This window comes from Homo sapiens, chromosome 10 (assembly GCF_000001405.40).
Source record: "Homo sapiens chromosome 10, GRCh38.p14 Primary Assembly".
In the NCBI taxonomy this organism is placed as follows: Eukaryota; Metazoa; Chordata; class Mammalia; order Primates; family Hominidae; genus Homo; species Homo sapiens.
In genome coordinates this window covers 132,011,951-132,029,688 of record NC_000010.11, presented here as the reverse complement: position 1 = coordinate 132,029,688, position 17,738 = coordinate 132,011,951, and the positions used below count along the sequence as shown (strand labels likewise).

At 48.8% G+C, this 17,738-nt stretch overlaps 2 annotated features.

Annotated features, from left to right (window-relative positions):
* Positions 1-501: an enhancer, noted in NCBI's record as "H3K4me1 hESC enhancer chr10:133842692-133843192 (GRCh37/hg19 assembly coordinates)". NCBI's record gives its function as "activates a minimal SCP1, AML or CMV promoter by ChIP-STARR-seq in primed H9 embryonic stem cells {active_cell/tissue: H9 hESC(primed)}" and the evidence as "EXISTENCE:reporter gene assay evidence [ECO:0000049][PMID:30033119]".
* Positions 9,564-10,235: an enhancer, noted in NCBI's record as "H3K4me1 hESC enhancer chr10:133832958-133833629 (GRCh37/hg19 assembly coordinates)". NCBI's record gives its function as "activates a minimal SCP1, AML or CMV promoter by ChIP-STARR-seq in naive H9 embryonic stem cells {active_cell/tissue: H9 hESC(naive)}" and the evidence as "EXISTENCE:reporter gene assay evidence [ECO:0000049][PMID:30033119]".

Genomic DNA, 17,738 nt, shown 5'->3' with positions numbered 1-17,738 from the left:
CCACCTGGCCAGCCAAAGCCAGGCCTTCAGCCAACGTGTCTTTCCAGGCCACCATGCCCAGGGGATGCAGATGCCCAAACGCTAACCACACGCTATGGTAACCGATGCTGACCATACACTACGGTGACCCAACGCTGGCCATAACGAGACAATGATAATCTCCTGTCTTCAAACTCAGCCAGGCAGATACGTCTCAGGCTCCCATCCCTGAGGATGTATTGCTTACAACCACTTGAGGAAATAATACTGTCATAGGTCAAATGCATATGAAGAAACAACACAATTTTTAGCAGAAATAATTTTCAAACAAGAAATTGACTGCTTATAAAATCATCAAGAGACTGGAAGAATGGGCTCCAGGCCGGGTCTCAGGATGTCACTCCCAGAATAACCCCACAGAGACAGCCCAGCAAGGGAACACCTACTGTGACAAAAACAAGAACTGAGTTCGAAAAAACACAGTTCAAAAAAGACCGTGTTCCCGTCTGGGAAGTGAGGATCGCCTCTGCCTGGCTGCTGCCCCCCTGCCATCTGGGACATGAGGAGCCTCTCTGCCCGGCTGCTGTGCAACCCTCCAAGTGTGAAGTGGCAGCCTTATGTGTGATCTTTCTGTCCTCCCCAAGTTTGCATTTTTGACATTAAAGTTTACTTTTAAATTAAAAAAAAAAAAAGACTGTGTTCAGAAACCCACCGACCCCACCACTGGCTCTGTGATCAGGCAACACCTGCTATACTCCCTCCGGGGGACAGGAAGGCACCACAACTTTCGGTCCCAGAAATATGCCACACCCATTAGCTCCACAGCAGTAAAATGACGACTCTCACAGCAGAACCTCACTTCCCACTTAACCAAATCCTGACCCCAGATCTTGTTCAGTTTCATTTGATTAGTGGAAACTGAATCGCACCTGGAAGCCTAGAGCTGCCAGAGGCACTGGCGTTTAACTCTTCAATCTCTACATCCAGGAAGGTGCCAGAAGGAAGTCAAAATAGACAATGAGTGGGGTGATCTGCTATACTGAACCCACGGGTAGAAAAAAACCAGGTCCTAAGAGAAGTGTCAGGAAATCCTGCAAGAATGCCGAGGAGAAAACCGCTTATCTGACTAGGAGTGTCTGCTCAGAAAGACTTGAATTAAGCTCCAATGGAAGAGCAGTGTTTTTGCAAGAAGAGAAGGAAGAGGGTGAAGCTGGTTGAGGGGCAGCATGGGTACAGTCACTGTTGCTGCCGCTCTTCCATAAATGTGAAACTGTTTCAAAGCCATGCATGTAAAATTACGGATATGAGGACTATACAGAAACAAGATTTTGGCCGGGCGCGGTGGCTCACACCTGTAATCCCAGCACTTTGGGAGGCTGAGGCGGGTGGATCATGAGGTCAGGAGTTTAAGACCAGCCTGGCCAAGATGGTGAAACCCCGTCTCTCCTAAAAATACAAACATTAGCCAGGCGTGGTGGCGTGCACCTGTAGTCCCAGGTACTCGGAGGGCTGAGGCAGGAGAATCACTTGACCCTGGCTGGCAGAGGTTGCAGTGAGCTGAGATCATGCCACTGCACTCCAGTCTGGGTGACAGAGCGAGACTCTGTCTCAAAAAACAAAAAGAAAAAAAGAAAGAAAGAAAAGAAAAAGAAAAAAGGTCTTGTGACATAAAATTATATCAGTTCAATGTCTTAGCAGCAAGTAACCAAAAAGGAAGAAAAGAAAAAACCCTCCAACACACTTAAAGAATAAGCAAATCTATCACCTCACATAGTGAGAAATCCAGAGATAGGGCAGACACCAAGACTGGCTGATTAAACATCTCCATATCATCATCACCAAAGACACAGGCTCCTTTCCCTCTTACCCCATCCTCAGCCTAAGGCTGATTAGCCACATGGTGCCAAGGTGGCTGCAGCGGCTCCACACATCACACTCAGTAATGACAGGGACCAAAAGAAGGGATGAACAGCCTCTTTTCTCCGAATCCCTGGAGCAGGCTTTCCTTCTAAACCATCTAAACCCTTCTAAGCCATCATTCATGAGAGAGGCAGTATAACCCTGGTCAGCTCAGCTGACTCATCCATGTGGAATGAATGTTGGGGGTCAATCATGTGACCACAACAGATACTGAGTTTAAAAAGCAGAGACAAGAGAGTGGTCATTAAATCCCTCTCATCATATTTGCCTGCATGTGCTAAATGGAAATAGACGTCCATAATTGGAAATTACTGTGTTTGGGTGGTGATTGTGGCATTATTTTCCTTTGTGTGAAATGTTTGCCACTAGTATTGGTGCTTCACCCTTTTTTTATAATTCTGAGGTGCCAGGGCATCAGTGCTGCCACGTGACGGGCAGTGCCGGTGCTGACAGAGGGCTTCCTTCAGCCTCAACCCCTTTGTCTCACATCTTTGTCTTTGCCTCTGATTCTCCCAGGTAGTGTGCAAATGTGCAGCATTTACAAGAGCAGTCATCGGTGGGGCTCTCCCCAAAGTCTCTGTCCATCTGTCTCTTTTACAGCATGATCGGCATGTGTAAAATGTGGATAATGATTCCTGTCACTTCCTACCTCCAGAGGTGGTTGTAGGGACAAGGATTTGTAGTAGATAAGAAAGGTCAGGCATGGTGGCTCACTTCTGTAACCCCAGCACTTTGGGAGGCCGAAGTGGGCAGATCACCTGAGGTCAGGAGTTCGAGACCAGCCTGGGCAACATGGCAAAACCCCATCTCTACTAAAAATACAAAAATTAGCCAGGCATCTGTAGTCCCAGCTACTGGGGAGGCTGAGGCAGGAGAATCGCTTGAACCCAGGAGGCGGAAGTTGCAGTGAGCCGAGATCACACCACTGCACTCCAGCCTGGGCGAAGAGTGAGTGAGACTGTCTCAAAAGGCACGATGGCGCATGCCTGTAATCCCAGCACTTTGGGAGGCCAAGGTGGGTGGATCATGAGGTCAGGAGTTCGAGACCAGCCTGGCTAACACAGTGAAACCCCGTCTCTACTAAAAAATACAAAAAATTAGCCGGGCGTAGTGGTGGGCACCTGTAGTCCCAGCTACTCGGGAGGCTGAGGCAGGAGAATGGCGTGAACCCGGGAGGCGGAGCTTGCAATGAGCCGAGATCGTGCCACTGCACTCCAGCCTGGGTGACAGAGCGAGACTCCATATCAAAAAAAAAAACAAAAACAAAAACAAAAACAAAAACAGTAATAGATGAGAAAGCGCTTGAGCTGTGGAAAACTGTGCAGGAAATAGTCATGCCATCCAAATCTATCCTGGAGCCTTCCTGTCCCCTGAAGATGTTGGAAAAGGTGCCTTGAATTCATGCCTCGTGGAAGCACAAAGCATGCTTCAGCCTTTTTGGTTTCTGAGACTCGTGTGTCTAATGATCACTCTACCACGGGGCTTGTGACTGAGGGTGTGGTCGTGTTGTTGGTTCCATATCACAATCCTTTTTTGATAACCTCATTCCTCTATCGTTTCCAACCCAAATACAAAATTTTCATGGGAAGGAGAGATTTGCTAAGGATCCGACAATAATAACCGCACAGGCAATCTTAGGCATCTTTGCTCCTGGAAAGGCCGTTGGCCTCTACCCCACTGTGCATGCATCCCCCTTCCTGCTCCCTCCCACCTCACTTCCTTCTCACCTCTCTCTAAGACCACCCTCTAAAACTCCAAATATTCTGGGTTATATAGAGGAGTGTTTTGTGAAATGTGGTCCACACACCCCAGGTGTTCACGTTAGGTTGGGAGGGGAGGTTTGCTTGGTAACCGAAGATGCCTAGACCTCAGCAAAGACCCACGGTCATGATGTGAATATCCGCTGGGATCGTTATAAAAATAAACATTTGTCTTATATTTTTATTAGATTATTTGAACGAACCCTTTCATAGAACGATGAAAATGATGCTAAGGGCTGGGCGTGGTGGCTCATGCCTGTAATCCCAGCACTTTGGGAGGCCGAGGCGGGCAGATCACCTGAGGTCGGGAGTTCAGGACCAGCCTGGCCAACACAGCAAAACCCTGACTCTATTAAAAATACAAATATTAGCTGGGCGTGGTGGCGGGTGCCTGTAATCCCAGCTACTCGGGAGGCTGAGGCAGGAGAATCGCTTGAACCCGGGAGACAGAGGTTGCAGTGAACCAAGATCGCGCCATTGCACTCCAGCCTGGGCAACAACAGAGTGAGACATTGTCTCAAAAAAAAAAAAAAAAGAACAAAAGAAAATGCTGTTAAGATTTTTTAAATCTCCTTAAACTCATCAGAGAAGTGATGAGACGGCAAGGACTTACTAGGCCAAAAATCTAAATCGAAGCAGGAACAAGATGGGTGGGCTGAAGACGGCAGCTCTTTTTACTACGGGGGCATTCACCTGCCCCAGTGTACTTAAGCATAGTTCTTAATGGTCTTTCAGGGCAAGAGGCACAAGAGTAAAACGCCAAGCCAGTGGGGAGTGTCGGAGGAAGCCCTCTCTCCATAAAACTGAGAACCCCAAAGGCTACACCCCGAGGGTAAGGGTGAATCAGAGGTAACACCCCCCAACCCCACATCATCAAGGGATGGCAAGACAAGCGGGGCAGGGGCAGGAGAAAACCCTTTTCAGAGAAGACAGAGGCATGAGCCAGCCACGTCCAAAGCTGCATCACACGGGTGACCTGGATCACACCCATGACCGAGAACTCTTTAAGCCTGTAATTTAATGTAATTAATGTAAAGTGGTCCCAGATTACCACGGCCCCTGGGCGCCTGGAAGAAGCAAATGCCAGCCTCTTTAGAGGGACAGCTTCGTGCAGGGCTCACAGGACACCTACAAGCAATTTTTCAAGGACAGCTGAAAACAATCATGACACAGAAAATAAGGTATTATGGGAGTGAATCAGATAAGAAGAAAAACAGGAGAAGAAATAGGAGGGGGTGGGTGGGAAGGAAAAGACAGACAGACCTAGAAAGACTTCAGATATTCAAACTACCAGACAAAGATATTAAAACTATGCACACTATGATTAGAGACATGAAAAGCAAGACGAAATTTTCTGGGGAAAGACAGGAACTGTATAAAATAGACTAGCATATTTGAAAAGCAACTCAATAGAATTTCTGGAAATGAAAAAATATAATAATCAAAATTAAAAACCAGGTTTAACAACAAATTAGCCACAGCCAAAGAAAGAATTAGTGAACCATAAAACAGGTAGAAGAACCCAGAAGCAACCCAGAGATACAAAAAATTAAAAATCAGAAAGAGAGGTTAAGAGAGATGGAGAACAGAGTAAAAAAAAAAAAAAGTTTAATATATGTTCAATTAGTGTTCCAGAAGAGATCAGACAGGAAATAGCCAGAAGCAATATCTGAAGAGGTAACAGTTGAGTCTTTGATGTACTGGTAAAAGAAATGGGCTGGGTGCGGTGGCTCATGCCTGTAATCCCAGCACTTGGGAGGCTGAGGTGTGCGGATCATGAGATCAGGAGTTCGAGACCAGCCTGGCCAACATGGTGAAACCCTGTCTCTACTAAAAATACAAAACTTGGACCAGGCATGGTGGCTCACGCCTGTAATCCCAGCACTTTGGGAGGCCGAGGCGGGTGGATCAGAAGGTCAGGAGTTCAAGACCAGCCTGGCCAACGTACTAAAAATACAAAAATTAGCTGGGCGTGCTGGTGATCCCCCATAGAATCTTCTAGAGACGCAAACCCCATGGCACCGCCTCTGCTGGTAAACCTCCAGTGGTGTCTCATTATCCTCTGGTTTAGTCCAAAATGCTTCCCAAGGCCCACAGGGCCCCCCGAGACAGCATTTGCTGATTCTGCTCCACAGAAAATGAACGGGTTTCACTTTCTCAAACCCTCCTATTTTTCCGTAGACTCCGGACCCTGGAGCATGTTCCTCACGGGAAGAAGAACGGTCTCCCTCCTGCGTTCCGGACTCAGCGTCGCCTCCTTGGGGATCCTTGAGGGGATGGGCAGTGACTCAGTGGATGAAGCCGCACTTCGTTGCATTCAGTTTCAGAAAACACGGCACTGTTTCTGGATCAGGCTCTTCAAGGGACACGCACTCCCCAAGCCGCATGACCAGAGTATCCACAGAGGCGAGTGAGTCTCCACCTGGCCCTGCTGCCCCTTCTGGCTAGTCCCTGCCCTTACTCTCCCAGAGGCACCCATTTTTTCTGATGATTTTCCCCATAGATTAGTTGAGGGGAGCTTCGCATCCATGCAATCCGTGTGCTGTTCTGTGGAAGGTTTCCAAATTGCCACGCGCATCAGTGGCGTGCTCTTATTTATTGCTGGAGATTGTTCTCTTGTACAAATTTGCCACGGTGTATGTATCTATTCTCCTGTTGAAGGACACCCGTCTGCTTTCCAGTTTGGGGCTATTACAAATAAAACGGCTGTAAACGTCTTCTTGCGCACAGCCTCCTGTCACGGGCACGCTCTTGCGACTTTCAGGTCTCCCAACCGTGGACAGCAGAGGGCGTCGGCGAGCCAGCGAGCGGAAGCCAAGCGTCCAGAGCGCCAGGCTGTCTCGGAAGAGGAAGCTCAGTGACCACCTTCTCAGGAATAGATCCAGGAAGAAAGGCGTCAGCATATTCCAGATATTAAGGAACTTTGTTCGATACGACAATTTCTTTTTAGAGACAGGGTCTCCATATGTTGCCCAGGCTGGTCTTGAACCCCTAAGCTCCGGTCCTCCAGCCACGGCCTCCCAAAGTGCTGGGATCACAGGTATGCACCACCATGACTGGCAGACAGTTCATTTTTTTGAGGTGGAATCTCGAACTGTTGCCCAGGCTGGAGTGCAGTGGCTTGATCTTGGCTCACTGCAACGTCCGCCTCCCGGGTTCAAGGGATTCTCCTGCCTCAGCCTCCCGAGTAGCTGGGATTACAGGTCCCTGCCACCATGCCCAGCTAATTTTTTGTATTTTTAGTAGAGACAGGGTTTCACCATGTTGGCCAGGCTAGTCTTGAACTCCTGACCTCGTGACCCACCCACCTCGGCCTCCCAAAGTGCTGGGATCACAGGTGTAAGTCACCGCGCCTGGCCAACAGATCTTAATTATCAGGGAGCTGGTTATTGCAGGAATCATGACCAGTGGCCCAAGTGTGGTAGGTTTCATCACCAGCAGGGAGGCCCCACATGCGGGATGTGGTGAGTGACAGGGCAGGGGAGCAGCAGGGGAGGCCCTCACGCCCTGCAGGCCTCACTGCTGCTGCCCATGGGGCCACACTCAGAAAACGCCGTGCTGCTGGGCTCCCGCGGCGTCTCTCACAGGATGCAACCCAGATGCTGCGGCGCAGAGATCCTCTGACACGTTCTTCCTGGTCCACTCTGCGGGGGACGTCCTTGGACCACCAGCACCGCCCCTTAGCGTTCCTACAGCCTCCGGATCTCACCCGGGCCTTGGGTCCTGGGTGTGGCTGTGTCCCTCCCAAGTGTCCTCTGCTGGAAGCCACTTTCGACGCTAAAATGGAAAGCAGAGTGGTGGGCAGGAGGGCATCAGATGCCGACAGACTGGTTCCAGCAAGAGTGGAGTGACTTGGTTCACAGTGCGGCTTCCAGAGTCATCGAAACCTTGTTTAAAATGCAGAGTCCGGCCCCCTCCCCAGTAATCCTGAGGTCTGGGCTGGGACCTGGGAATTGGTCATTTGAACTCGCTGACCAGGCCACATGCAGCAGGTTAGGAAGCTGCAGGTCTGAGCGCCTGATGAGTGTGGGTTGGAGAGGGCAGGTGTGGGGTCCTGAGCGACCAAAGGGACCCACAGGGGACGGGGAGCAGGCAAGGAGTGCCACGTGGGTTGGCCAGCCTGTTCCCACCAAGGCCAGCGCCCGGCACTCACTGTCATAGTGCCAGACACACTGCCCTTTGTTCTGGATCCCCCTCCACCAACACCTCTTCCACCCACCCCACCCTCTCCCCGGTGATGAGCACGTGCTAGGCTCACACGTGCTGTGTGGAGACATCTCTCCTCCCAGCCCTCCCAGGCCCCGAGCCTCAAGCTCTCCTGCAGCCGCCCCTGTGCACCTGGGCGTCTCTCTGCAATGCCTGCCTCTCCCGCACCTGGACCCACACCACACAGCAGCCGTGCAGCCTGTGCCCACAGCACTGCCATGGCATCCATCAGAGAGAGGAGGCCCAATGGGATAGATTGAGGAGGGCCAAGTGTGACACCTTAATGACATGTTCATTTCTGGCAGCAGCAGCATCTCAAAGTGCCCTGTAAATGTGGGCATCAAACCCGAGGCAGGACAGGTAGTCAAGGAAGTGACCAGGTCCTCGGGGCATGGCGACCATGGTGACCGTACGGTCGACACAGCAAGCCTCAGCATTGGCAGTGTAATGGAGCTCATTTGAGCACAGCTATCTTCAGTAGGGACCTTCCCCTCTGGAGAGCACGCGCACTGTGAGCTTACCTGTCCTCACACCGACCCTGGCGTTGAAGACGCTAGTGAGACAGGCGACGTATGAACAAGCGTGGACGGGTACTGCGCGTGCGCACCTGGAGGAGCACCCGGAACAAGCTTCCCAGCAACGCCTCTCGCACCTCCTCATGCGTAATCATGGAAGACTCCCATAGAGGGAATCTCCCTCCTTCCAGTCTTTGCCGTCTCATCCTCATGAGCAGCCGACCCCGAATCCTCTCTTTCAGAGTGTACTGCCCATTCTGCACCAAACTTTTCTCATATTATTTTTCTTTTGCACTAAATCACTATACATGCCGCCTCCTTTGCTGTGTGTCTCTTGCTTAAACTCCCTTAAACTAAGAAGACAAGAACTGAGATCTCACAGCAACCATCAACTAAACTACCCATCAAGTTGGCCCCCAAAGCTGCTGAGCCCTGAGAGAAGCCTCAGGGGAGCACGATGAAGTCTGTCCTGTGAAGACACGAGTCCCTTAGAGAACGCGCACACCCGGCAGATCAGTGGTAACAAGGGAGCAGGTGCTCAGTGAGTCTCTAGGCAATGACCGCTGCAGCATCTGGAGGAGAGTGTGAGCCCGAGGTCTGGGCCAGGCTTGGGAGGACTCAGGAGGCAGAGAGAAGAGCCAGGGCACTGGGGCCAGGCTTGGAGACGAGAAGAGCAGGAAGAGCTCGGCAGAAGAGGGCTGCCTAAGAGAAGAGCTCGGCAGAAGAGGGCTGCCTAAGAGACACAGGTGGAGGTTGAGCTCCTGGGTTTTTACCCAGAGGAACTGGAAACGTGTCCACACAAAACCTGCGCGTGGATGTTTACAGCAACTTTGTTCATACTCACCAAAACTTGGAAGCTGCTGGGATGTCCTTCAGCAGGTGAGTGGAACCATCAGTTGTGATTCATCCCATCAAGTGTGGTTCAGGGTTAGAAAGAAATGAGCTATCAAGCCAGGAAAAGACATGAAGGACCCTTAAATGTACATTACTCTGTGAAAGAAGTCAATCTAAAAGGCTACACACTGTATGATCCCAACTCTTTGACATTCCAGAAGAGGCAAAACTATGGAGACAGTAAAAAGATGAGTGGTTGCCAGGGGACAGGGGAGGGAGGGAGGGAGGAACAGGCAGAGGATAGAGGACTTGGGGCAGTGAAAGTGCTCTGCGTGTTACTGTCGTGGGGGATACATGTCATTACACATCCGTCGAAACCCATAGAATGTCCAACACCAAGAGTGGACCCTAACGTGGACTCTGGATGATAGCGATGATGGCAGAGGCGGCCCATCTGGAGCGGTGGCTGCCATCATGCTGGGTACAGTGGGGAGGTGTGGCTGGGGCTGCATATGGGCTGCACACTCCACAGAGCCGGCGGGAGCCAGGGACAAGTGGGATCCCTGCCCCTTCTGAGTTGATCCCTGCCCCTTCTGAGCAGGAGCTCTGTAGGTGCAGCCACAGCCAGCCAAGTTGTGGCTGCAGACCGGAGCCTGCCACTACAAGGAGCAGACAAGAGCCCTGCCCACCCCCATCAGGCACAGCTGCAGCTGCCCAAGTCATGGCTGCAGACCTGGGCCTCCCTGTGTTCTTAGGGGGACTGGAGCAGGCAGGAGCCCCGCCCTCCCAGGCTCAGCTGCAGCCACCCAAGTCACAGTTGTAGACCTGGGCCTCCTACTCCATGGAGAAGGCAGGAGCCCTGCGGCCCCCACCCTCCAGGCGCAGTTGCAGCCGCCCAAACTGTGGCTGTGGACCCAGGCATCCCTGCACTCTTGGGGGCCCAGGAAGGCATCCCCCTGCCCTCACAGGCTCAGAAGTGCCTGCTCCCACTGCCTGGCTTCTCCCTGCTTTCAGTGTTCACTCCAATCTCAGAGCAAAATTGGGGCCAAGCCCGGGTGCTGTCACAGCCCGGTTGGGTGTGCATGCACGTGGAGCACTGCTGACATGCCAACCCCCTGCTGCCTGGCCCCCTCCAGACTTTGGGCATTGACGAGCTTGGGAGGGAAGCCGATGGGGTCTGAGGGCAGGTCTGTGCTGGCCTGCAGGCAGCCCTTGGCACCTACAGCCTGGACACTATGAACAGCAGCAGGAGGCAGACAGGCTCCCGGATGGAAGGGGGTGGGTCCCTGGTGAGAGCCCACCTTTAGGCCAGGGAGGGCCTGAAGGCTAGGGGCAGGGCTGCCAATCCTGCAGACCAGAGAGGGGACTTGTGGTGCCTTTTCCAGGCCTGCCCATGGCCGCCCATGGACCAATTGGTACGCACTTCCTCCCCTCTGAGGCCCATAAAAGCCTGGGCTTAGCCAGAGCTGAGCAGACGTTGGGATGAGCAGTTACAGAGAGGAGCTACTCACTCCAGGGCCTCCTGTGAGCTATTCTGTCACTAAATGAAGCTCCTCTTCACCTTGCTCACCCTCCATTTGTTCACATACCTCATTCTTCCTGGACACAGGACAAGAACTCAAGACCTGCTGAATGGCAGAGCTGAAAGAGTAGTAACACAAACAGGGCTGAAACACACCCCTTGCTCTCCATGTTGCAGGTGAAGAGAAGGAGAAAAGAGCTGTGGCCCTTCAGGGAGCCCAGTCCTCGAAGCTCCCTGAGCCAGGGCTGTAACTCCCTCTTTGGGGCCCTGTGGTTCCTGGAGTCTCCAAGCTTCCAGCACCACTGCATTTCCCAGTGGCAGCCTTGGAAGCTGCTTGCAGTGCACCTGGTCCAGCCACAGCCTCACAGAGAGCCAGCGCCCAGGCCAGAGCCAGGCTGAAGAGAGAGGATTGGTTGAGGCCAGGAGTTCAAGATCACTCCGGGCGACATGATGAGACCCCATGCCTACGCACACACAAAAATAATAAATTAAAGTTTATTAAAAAAAAAAAAGAAAAAAAGCAGGTGAGGCCTAGTCACAAATACAGATGAGAGCCCAAGTCCACGTCTCATGCTGAAGATCTGACTTTACCTGCCTTTGGTGTCTCTTTAGATAGTTCCTCTCCAGCAATTTAAGCTGCAAGTGTTTAGCACCTCTAAGAGTCCCACAATGAACAGCATCCCTTTTCCTTGCTTGAGTATTGAACAGAGAGAGAAATAAAACAAAAGCAGATGGAGCCCAAAATATTCCCCTTGTTACTGGCAATGGCTAATTTGAGCAGTGGCTGAAAGTCAGAGTTGAACAGTTAACCAAACCCCAGAGAGGAAGACACCTTCCCAGATCGCTGTGGGTCCCCAGCCCTGGGCACCCCTCAGCCCCTCAGGCTCCTCATGCCCCTGAACCCAGCCCAGGCTTCTGAGGTCCCAGGATGGCTCCATGTACAGCACACTCCCAGGGAAGGAGGCTCAGACGTGGGGACCCCCCACCCAGGGAAGGAGCCCCAGAAGTGGGGACCCTCTCCTAAGGAAGGATGCTCAGAAGCGAGGACCCCCTCCCAGGGAAGGAACCCCAGAAGTGGGGGCCGTCTCCCAGGGAAGGATGCTCAGAAGTGAGGACCCCCTCCCAGGGAAGGAACCCCAGAAGTGGGGACTCTCTCCCAGGGAAGGATGCTCAGAAGCGAGGACCCCCTCCCAGGGAAGGAGCCCCAGAAGTGGGGACCGTCTCCCAGGGAAGGATGCTCAGAAGCGAGGACCCCCTCCCAGGGAAGGAGCCCCAGAAGGATCGCTGGTCATATGGTATTTCTGTTTTAATGTATTTGGGAGCCTCCATGCTGCTTTGCGTAATGGTGGGAATATAGAATGCCATAGCTATTTTGAAAAAGCATTTTTCATTTTGAGGTATAATCTAAAAACAAATAATGTTTGATCATGGTTCATATGAGGCTGTAAATCTGGTATAAGTCTGGAGAGTTTTCCCACCTTGGGCAAGGATGAGTTTGCCCCTAATTATCTTTGAGGCAGAAGATTGGCAGAACGTGAGATGGAGACTGTTGGCAGGATTCAGTATGATTCAGTAATAAATAGCATTGACAGAGAAAAATAGAGACATGGAGAGAAAGGGAGAGAGAGAATATGAATCTCATAAGAGGAAAATCTGCTGGATATCAGTGTTGGGTTTTCAGTCACAGAGACATCTGTATGAGCGAGGAACCATGAAGTCAAGTGAGGAGTGGAGAATATGTCCAGTCCAAAAATCAGCATGTTCTCAGAGGCACCCAGTGCCCCATCACACGGGTGAGAAATGTTTGAAACCAGTGATGTGTGAGTGCACAGTAAGTGATAAAGGTATCATGTCTCCATGAACTTTCATTAATAAGACAAGGACTTCTGTAGATCACTCATGCACAAATATACAAAATGTGTTTTTGCATTTGTGAATGTTTAGAGAAAAAGAATCTGTTGAGAAAACTTCTTCGGTTACAGAGAGTCTAGCACCTTCTAAGCATCTGAATAGGAAATATTTGTCATCTATTGTCTCTGAGGGCAGCCACTATGAGGCTTCAAAAGAAACTTGGGCTCCACAGTCTTTTATCTTAACCTGAATATTTCCTTTCTATAGATCCCAGGACTTTAGACAAACTCAACCAATTGTCAACCAGAAAATGTTTAAATTTACCTGTAGCCTGGAAGCCCCGCCCCCCACTTTGAGTTGCCTGCCTTTCTGGACCCAACCAATGTATTTCTTAAATGTATTTGATTGATGTCTCATGACCCCCTGCCCCGTAGAAGATATAAAACCAGGCTGCACCCCGACCACGTGGGGCGCAGGTTCTCAGGACCTCCTGAGGGCTGTGTCACGGGCCATGGTCACTAATGTTTTGGTCAGAATAAATCTCTTCAAATATTTTTCAGAGTTTGACTCTTTTCATTGACAAAAGTAAAGTGAAGGAACAGCTACTCCATAGACAGAGTAGGGTGTTCCCAAAAGTAAGAGGAGGAATGTGTCCACCCACAGTACAATACTTGTTTATACACACGATAAAAAAAGATCATGGGGAGATGTGCTCTGCTATGAGGGTTTGTGATGAAGAGTTACTGTTCTTAATTACTATATTTTGCAAGAATCGATATTATCTTTAAAGCAAAATAGGACTGCTTCTGTTCTCAAGATATCGGGATATCAGGACACTCCTATGTCTGGATCTGTTTAGTAAATGTTGTCAATCTGTTCCCTTGACTATAAACATCCAGAGGCTGGGAATACCTAACTTTCCGGCCCTGCAGCCCAGCAAGCCCCAGCCTCCTTTCCCAGCCCTCACTGTAAAAAGTAAAGTAGAGGTTCCTCTTCAAAGACTTTCCTCCCCATCTAATTAGGAATAAATAGCAACTTCTCTTAGAGGCAAAAATTTGTTCAAAGACCTGTGCTAACATTCTTAAATATCTGCTAGCTGTAATAAAGAAATCAATGTACTTTAAGTTCTTAGCTCCCCCAATTTAGCCTAAATATTTGCCCTGGCATGCTTATACTAGCCTGAGCAAGCATTAGGTCAGAGCCTGTTCCTCTTCCTTATTTGAAGGTGTTTTTACCTTCCTCAGCATTCCACAAGTTACTTCCTCCTTTCCTTGTTCTCCTATGACTTTGCCTCTTTTAAAAAGTTCTAAGTTGCAGCCGGGCGCAGTGGCTCAGGCCTGTAATCCCAGCACTTTGGGAGGCTGAGGCGGGTGGATCACGAGATCAGGAGTTCGGGACCAGCCTGGCCAATGTGGTGAAACCCTGTCTCTACTAAAAATGTAAAAATTGGCCGGGCATGGTGGCGGGCACCTGTAATCCCAGCTACTTGGGAAGCTGAGGCAAGAAAATCATTTGAACCCAGGAGGAGGAGGTTGCAGTGAGCCGAGATCGTGCCATTGCACTCCAGCCTGGGTGACAGAGCTGTTATAAGTTGCTAGCCAACTGGGACAAAACCAGAATGTGAGGTCCCGTTCCAGCCAATGGAAACCGGACACAGACGTAGGGTGGACACGTCAGGTTATAAATGACCCTGCCTCCTTTGTTCGGTGTACTCTCATGGCAAAACTGCTGGGAAGTGTACCCTTTCTGCAGAAAGTAAAAAAAATGCCCTTGCTGAGGAAATTAAATTTATGTTCAAGTGCTATTTCTTTATGGCACCGGGGAATAAGCATTACGAACACTCACTCACGAGAGAGATGCTGTGATTTGAATGCCCCTGACATGGGTGTTCATGGTGGAGGGTGTCCAGGTTCTCGGTGTCTGGAACAAAGAATTGGACAAAACCTACAAACAAAGCAAGGAAGAGATGAAGGGATCTATTGAAAATGAAAGTGCACTCCACAGTGTGCGAGCGGGCCTAAGCATAGGGGCTCAAGGGCCCCGTTAAAGAGTTTTTGTGAGTTTAAATACCCTCTACTTGGGGTACGTCCTATGTAAATGAAGAGGATGAAGTAAATTTACAAAGTCATTTACTCGGTGTATGCCCTATGGAGAGGATATTTCCTGTTATAGCTGAAGTGTGAATCGGCCTCATGCTTCCTGCCTGCAGACCCTATTTTCCTGTCTCATATCCCCCCAGTATGTGATCCCCATAAATCTTTATGGGAGGCAGAGGGACCAATGGTCTTTTTTCTGTACTGCTTCATGCTGACTTGGAGCGTAGTCCCTTCCTATTGGGAATCATGGAACTCTCGCCCTGCTCTGTCTAGTGGAGGAAGGGTAGCTGTTTGATAGCCAGGGGTGGTGTCTTCACCTGGAACTGGCTGGAACATTTGTTGCGTGATCATCTGAGGCTTGATGGTCTTTAGGCGAGAGGAAATAAATTTGGTTAAAAGATTTCATAGGAACTTCGGAGGTGGATACCCATGCAGTCAGAAATGTTCGTTATAGAGATTTGCAGGAGAAAAAAACAAAACCTGGTCTGTTCTAGAATCTATGTGTTTCCTTAAAGTCTTAGCACAAGTGACTCCATTTGGGTTTGGTTTGGTTTGTTGGGGCCTAGTGCATGAGCTTAGTCCAAAACAATGGCCTCCCAGAATTTTGTTTAAAGAATGCCTCCTTTTTGGTCAGGTTCTCACTTCGGCGAGAGAGTGACCAAAGCTTAGGGGCTTTACACCACTCTCAGTTACCATCATTTTGGGTTTCCAGTCTCAGCACATCATTTATAGGTTACGGGGCCCTCGTGGTTGCACATTTATTTTAGCTCCTGCTATTTCAGCTGAAGAGAGACCATGTGACATTCTAGAGATAGCTACACAGCATTTACAACCTGAGAGAACACAGCGCGCCAGGGAGACTATTATTATGACTACTGGGAGGATAATACCAAGAGTTTGGAGTACGCCCCTTAGCCAGGGTTCTCATAAACTGAACCTCTTAAAATCAGATAGATCAAAGAAAGAGCTACATAAAAAGCTCACTCACTTGACTAAGCAATTTCTTCATCCATCTCCTACCACTGAATTTCTATAATCTTCATTTGCTGTATTTCTCCATAGGCCACAAGTGCCAGCAGCTGCACAGATATTTCTCTGGTCAGCCAGTTCTATTATAACTTTCACAAGAGAATTTAAAGTCTGTTGCGTAACTGTAGCCTTTACAGGAGAATCTTCTATAAAGCCTATCATGAGGGAAACATTTCTTTCTTTCCTTTTTTTTTTTTTTTTTGAGATGGAGTCTCGCTCTGTTGTCCAGGCTGGAGTGCAGCGGCGCGATCTCAGCTCACTGCAACCTCCACCTCTAGGGTCCAAGTGATTCTCGTGCCTCAGCCTCCCGAGTAGCTGGGACTACAGGCACACGCCACCACGCCTGGCTAATTTCTTGTATTTTTAGTAGAGACGGGGTTTCACCAGGCTGGTCTCCAACTCCTGACCTCATGATCTGCCCGCCTCAGCCTCCCAAGAGGGATACATTTCTAATCATTGCTTCTTTTATTTTAAATCATGGAAAAAGGACCCAACAGATGATGCCTTTTTAGAATAGTGAAGACCTCCTGGCTATGTTCTCTTTAACCCATGATGTGGGTTCAGAGGAGTGAACCAATGTTTTGTTTTTGATTGATTACGAGGCAACGTGCGTACCAGTAAAATTTCTTACCTACATTGGGCCTTCATCTTTTATCTATCAAAGTATAAGGTTATCCATGTATAAGACTGGCTGCAAACTCCTTCACAAATAAAAGTATAACCCATAAGTGCACATAATAGACCCTTTTCTACTTCTAGTGTTCGTAGAGGTATAAGCAAGAAAAAGTATTCAAAGAGAAGTTTCATGACAGAAGTCTTAATCTGTGAACTCGGGAAAAGCTGTTCACAACAAGGATGCCATCCTCGTCTTGGGAGAAATTTCCCTGATTATTTTTACCTTAAGGGTTCCAACGGGTGCACAGCTCCAAGAGTGTGGAGGGACCCTTCTCAGTTGTGACATTATAAACCCAAAGTTCAAGGTCCTGAAGTTTTGTTGTAGTGTGGATGGCAAGGACAGTCTTTCTCTGATGTTCCCAGAAGATCTGAACCATAAAAAGCCTTTTTTCAACCTGGTGAAAATATACTGTGACAAAATAATCTACTGTTATAACATCAGTCCTCTTGCATGGGAAAGATTTTATACAACCAGAACACATACATCAAAAATAACAACTGAATGAAATCCCTTTATAAAATGTTTAATGGCTCACCAGGTGACCAAATGTATCTGAAGCTTTAATTGTTTTCCCAGGAATACGGGATCAAGCATTGGTTATAAACTATTTTACTAATTTGTAAGTCACTACACCAATGTATCCAATTTGGATCATTATATCGTTTCTATGATGAGTCATGGAATGCAGAAGTTTTAATAATAAAAGCTTTAAGGACTCAGGAAGGACAAGGTGGCCATCCTGGTTCTCCATGAGTCCATGTTTATATCCTTTTGGATACCAGTTGTTTTTCCAAATTAGGTGCATAGCACTGACAAGGAAATTTGGTTATTTTTGTGGTTCACAATAAAATAACATAATAACCATAATTATAATTGATGGAATACACTTAGACATTAGAATTTTAGAAATCTCATATAATTTAGGAATATATATTAGTATTATTCACAAAAATACAACCTAAAGAAGATTGAGCATAATTGTGGCAATCCTGTGTACCTAAACACATCAAATAATTCTGTTTACCTCATTTCTGGATGCTTTCAGGGGCTCTCTGATTCGTCCAAGAAAGCCAGGCATTAGGAAAGACAATTTTGAAACTGAAGTTTGATTTTGAAATTCCAGATTACCATTACTTACTTATTTTGTCAAAATGATGACTCAGACATTTTAAAGAAGGAAAAACCTTTTATAATCTTTAAAAAACACACACATGGCTGGCCGCGGTGGCTCACACCTGTAATCCCAGCACTTTGGGAGGCCGAGGTGGGCGGATCACCTGAGGTCAGGAGTTTGAGACCAGCCTGACCAATATAATGAAACCCCGTCCCTACTAAAAATACAAAAATCAG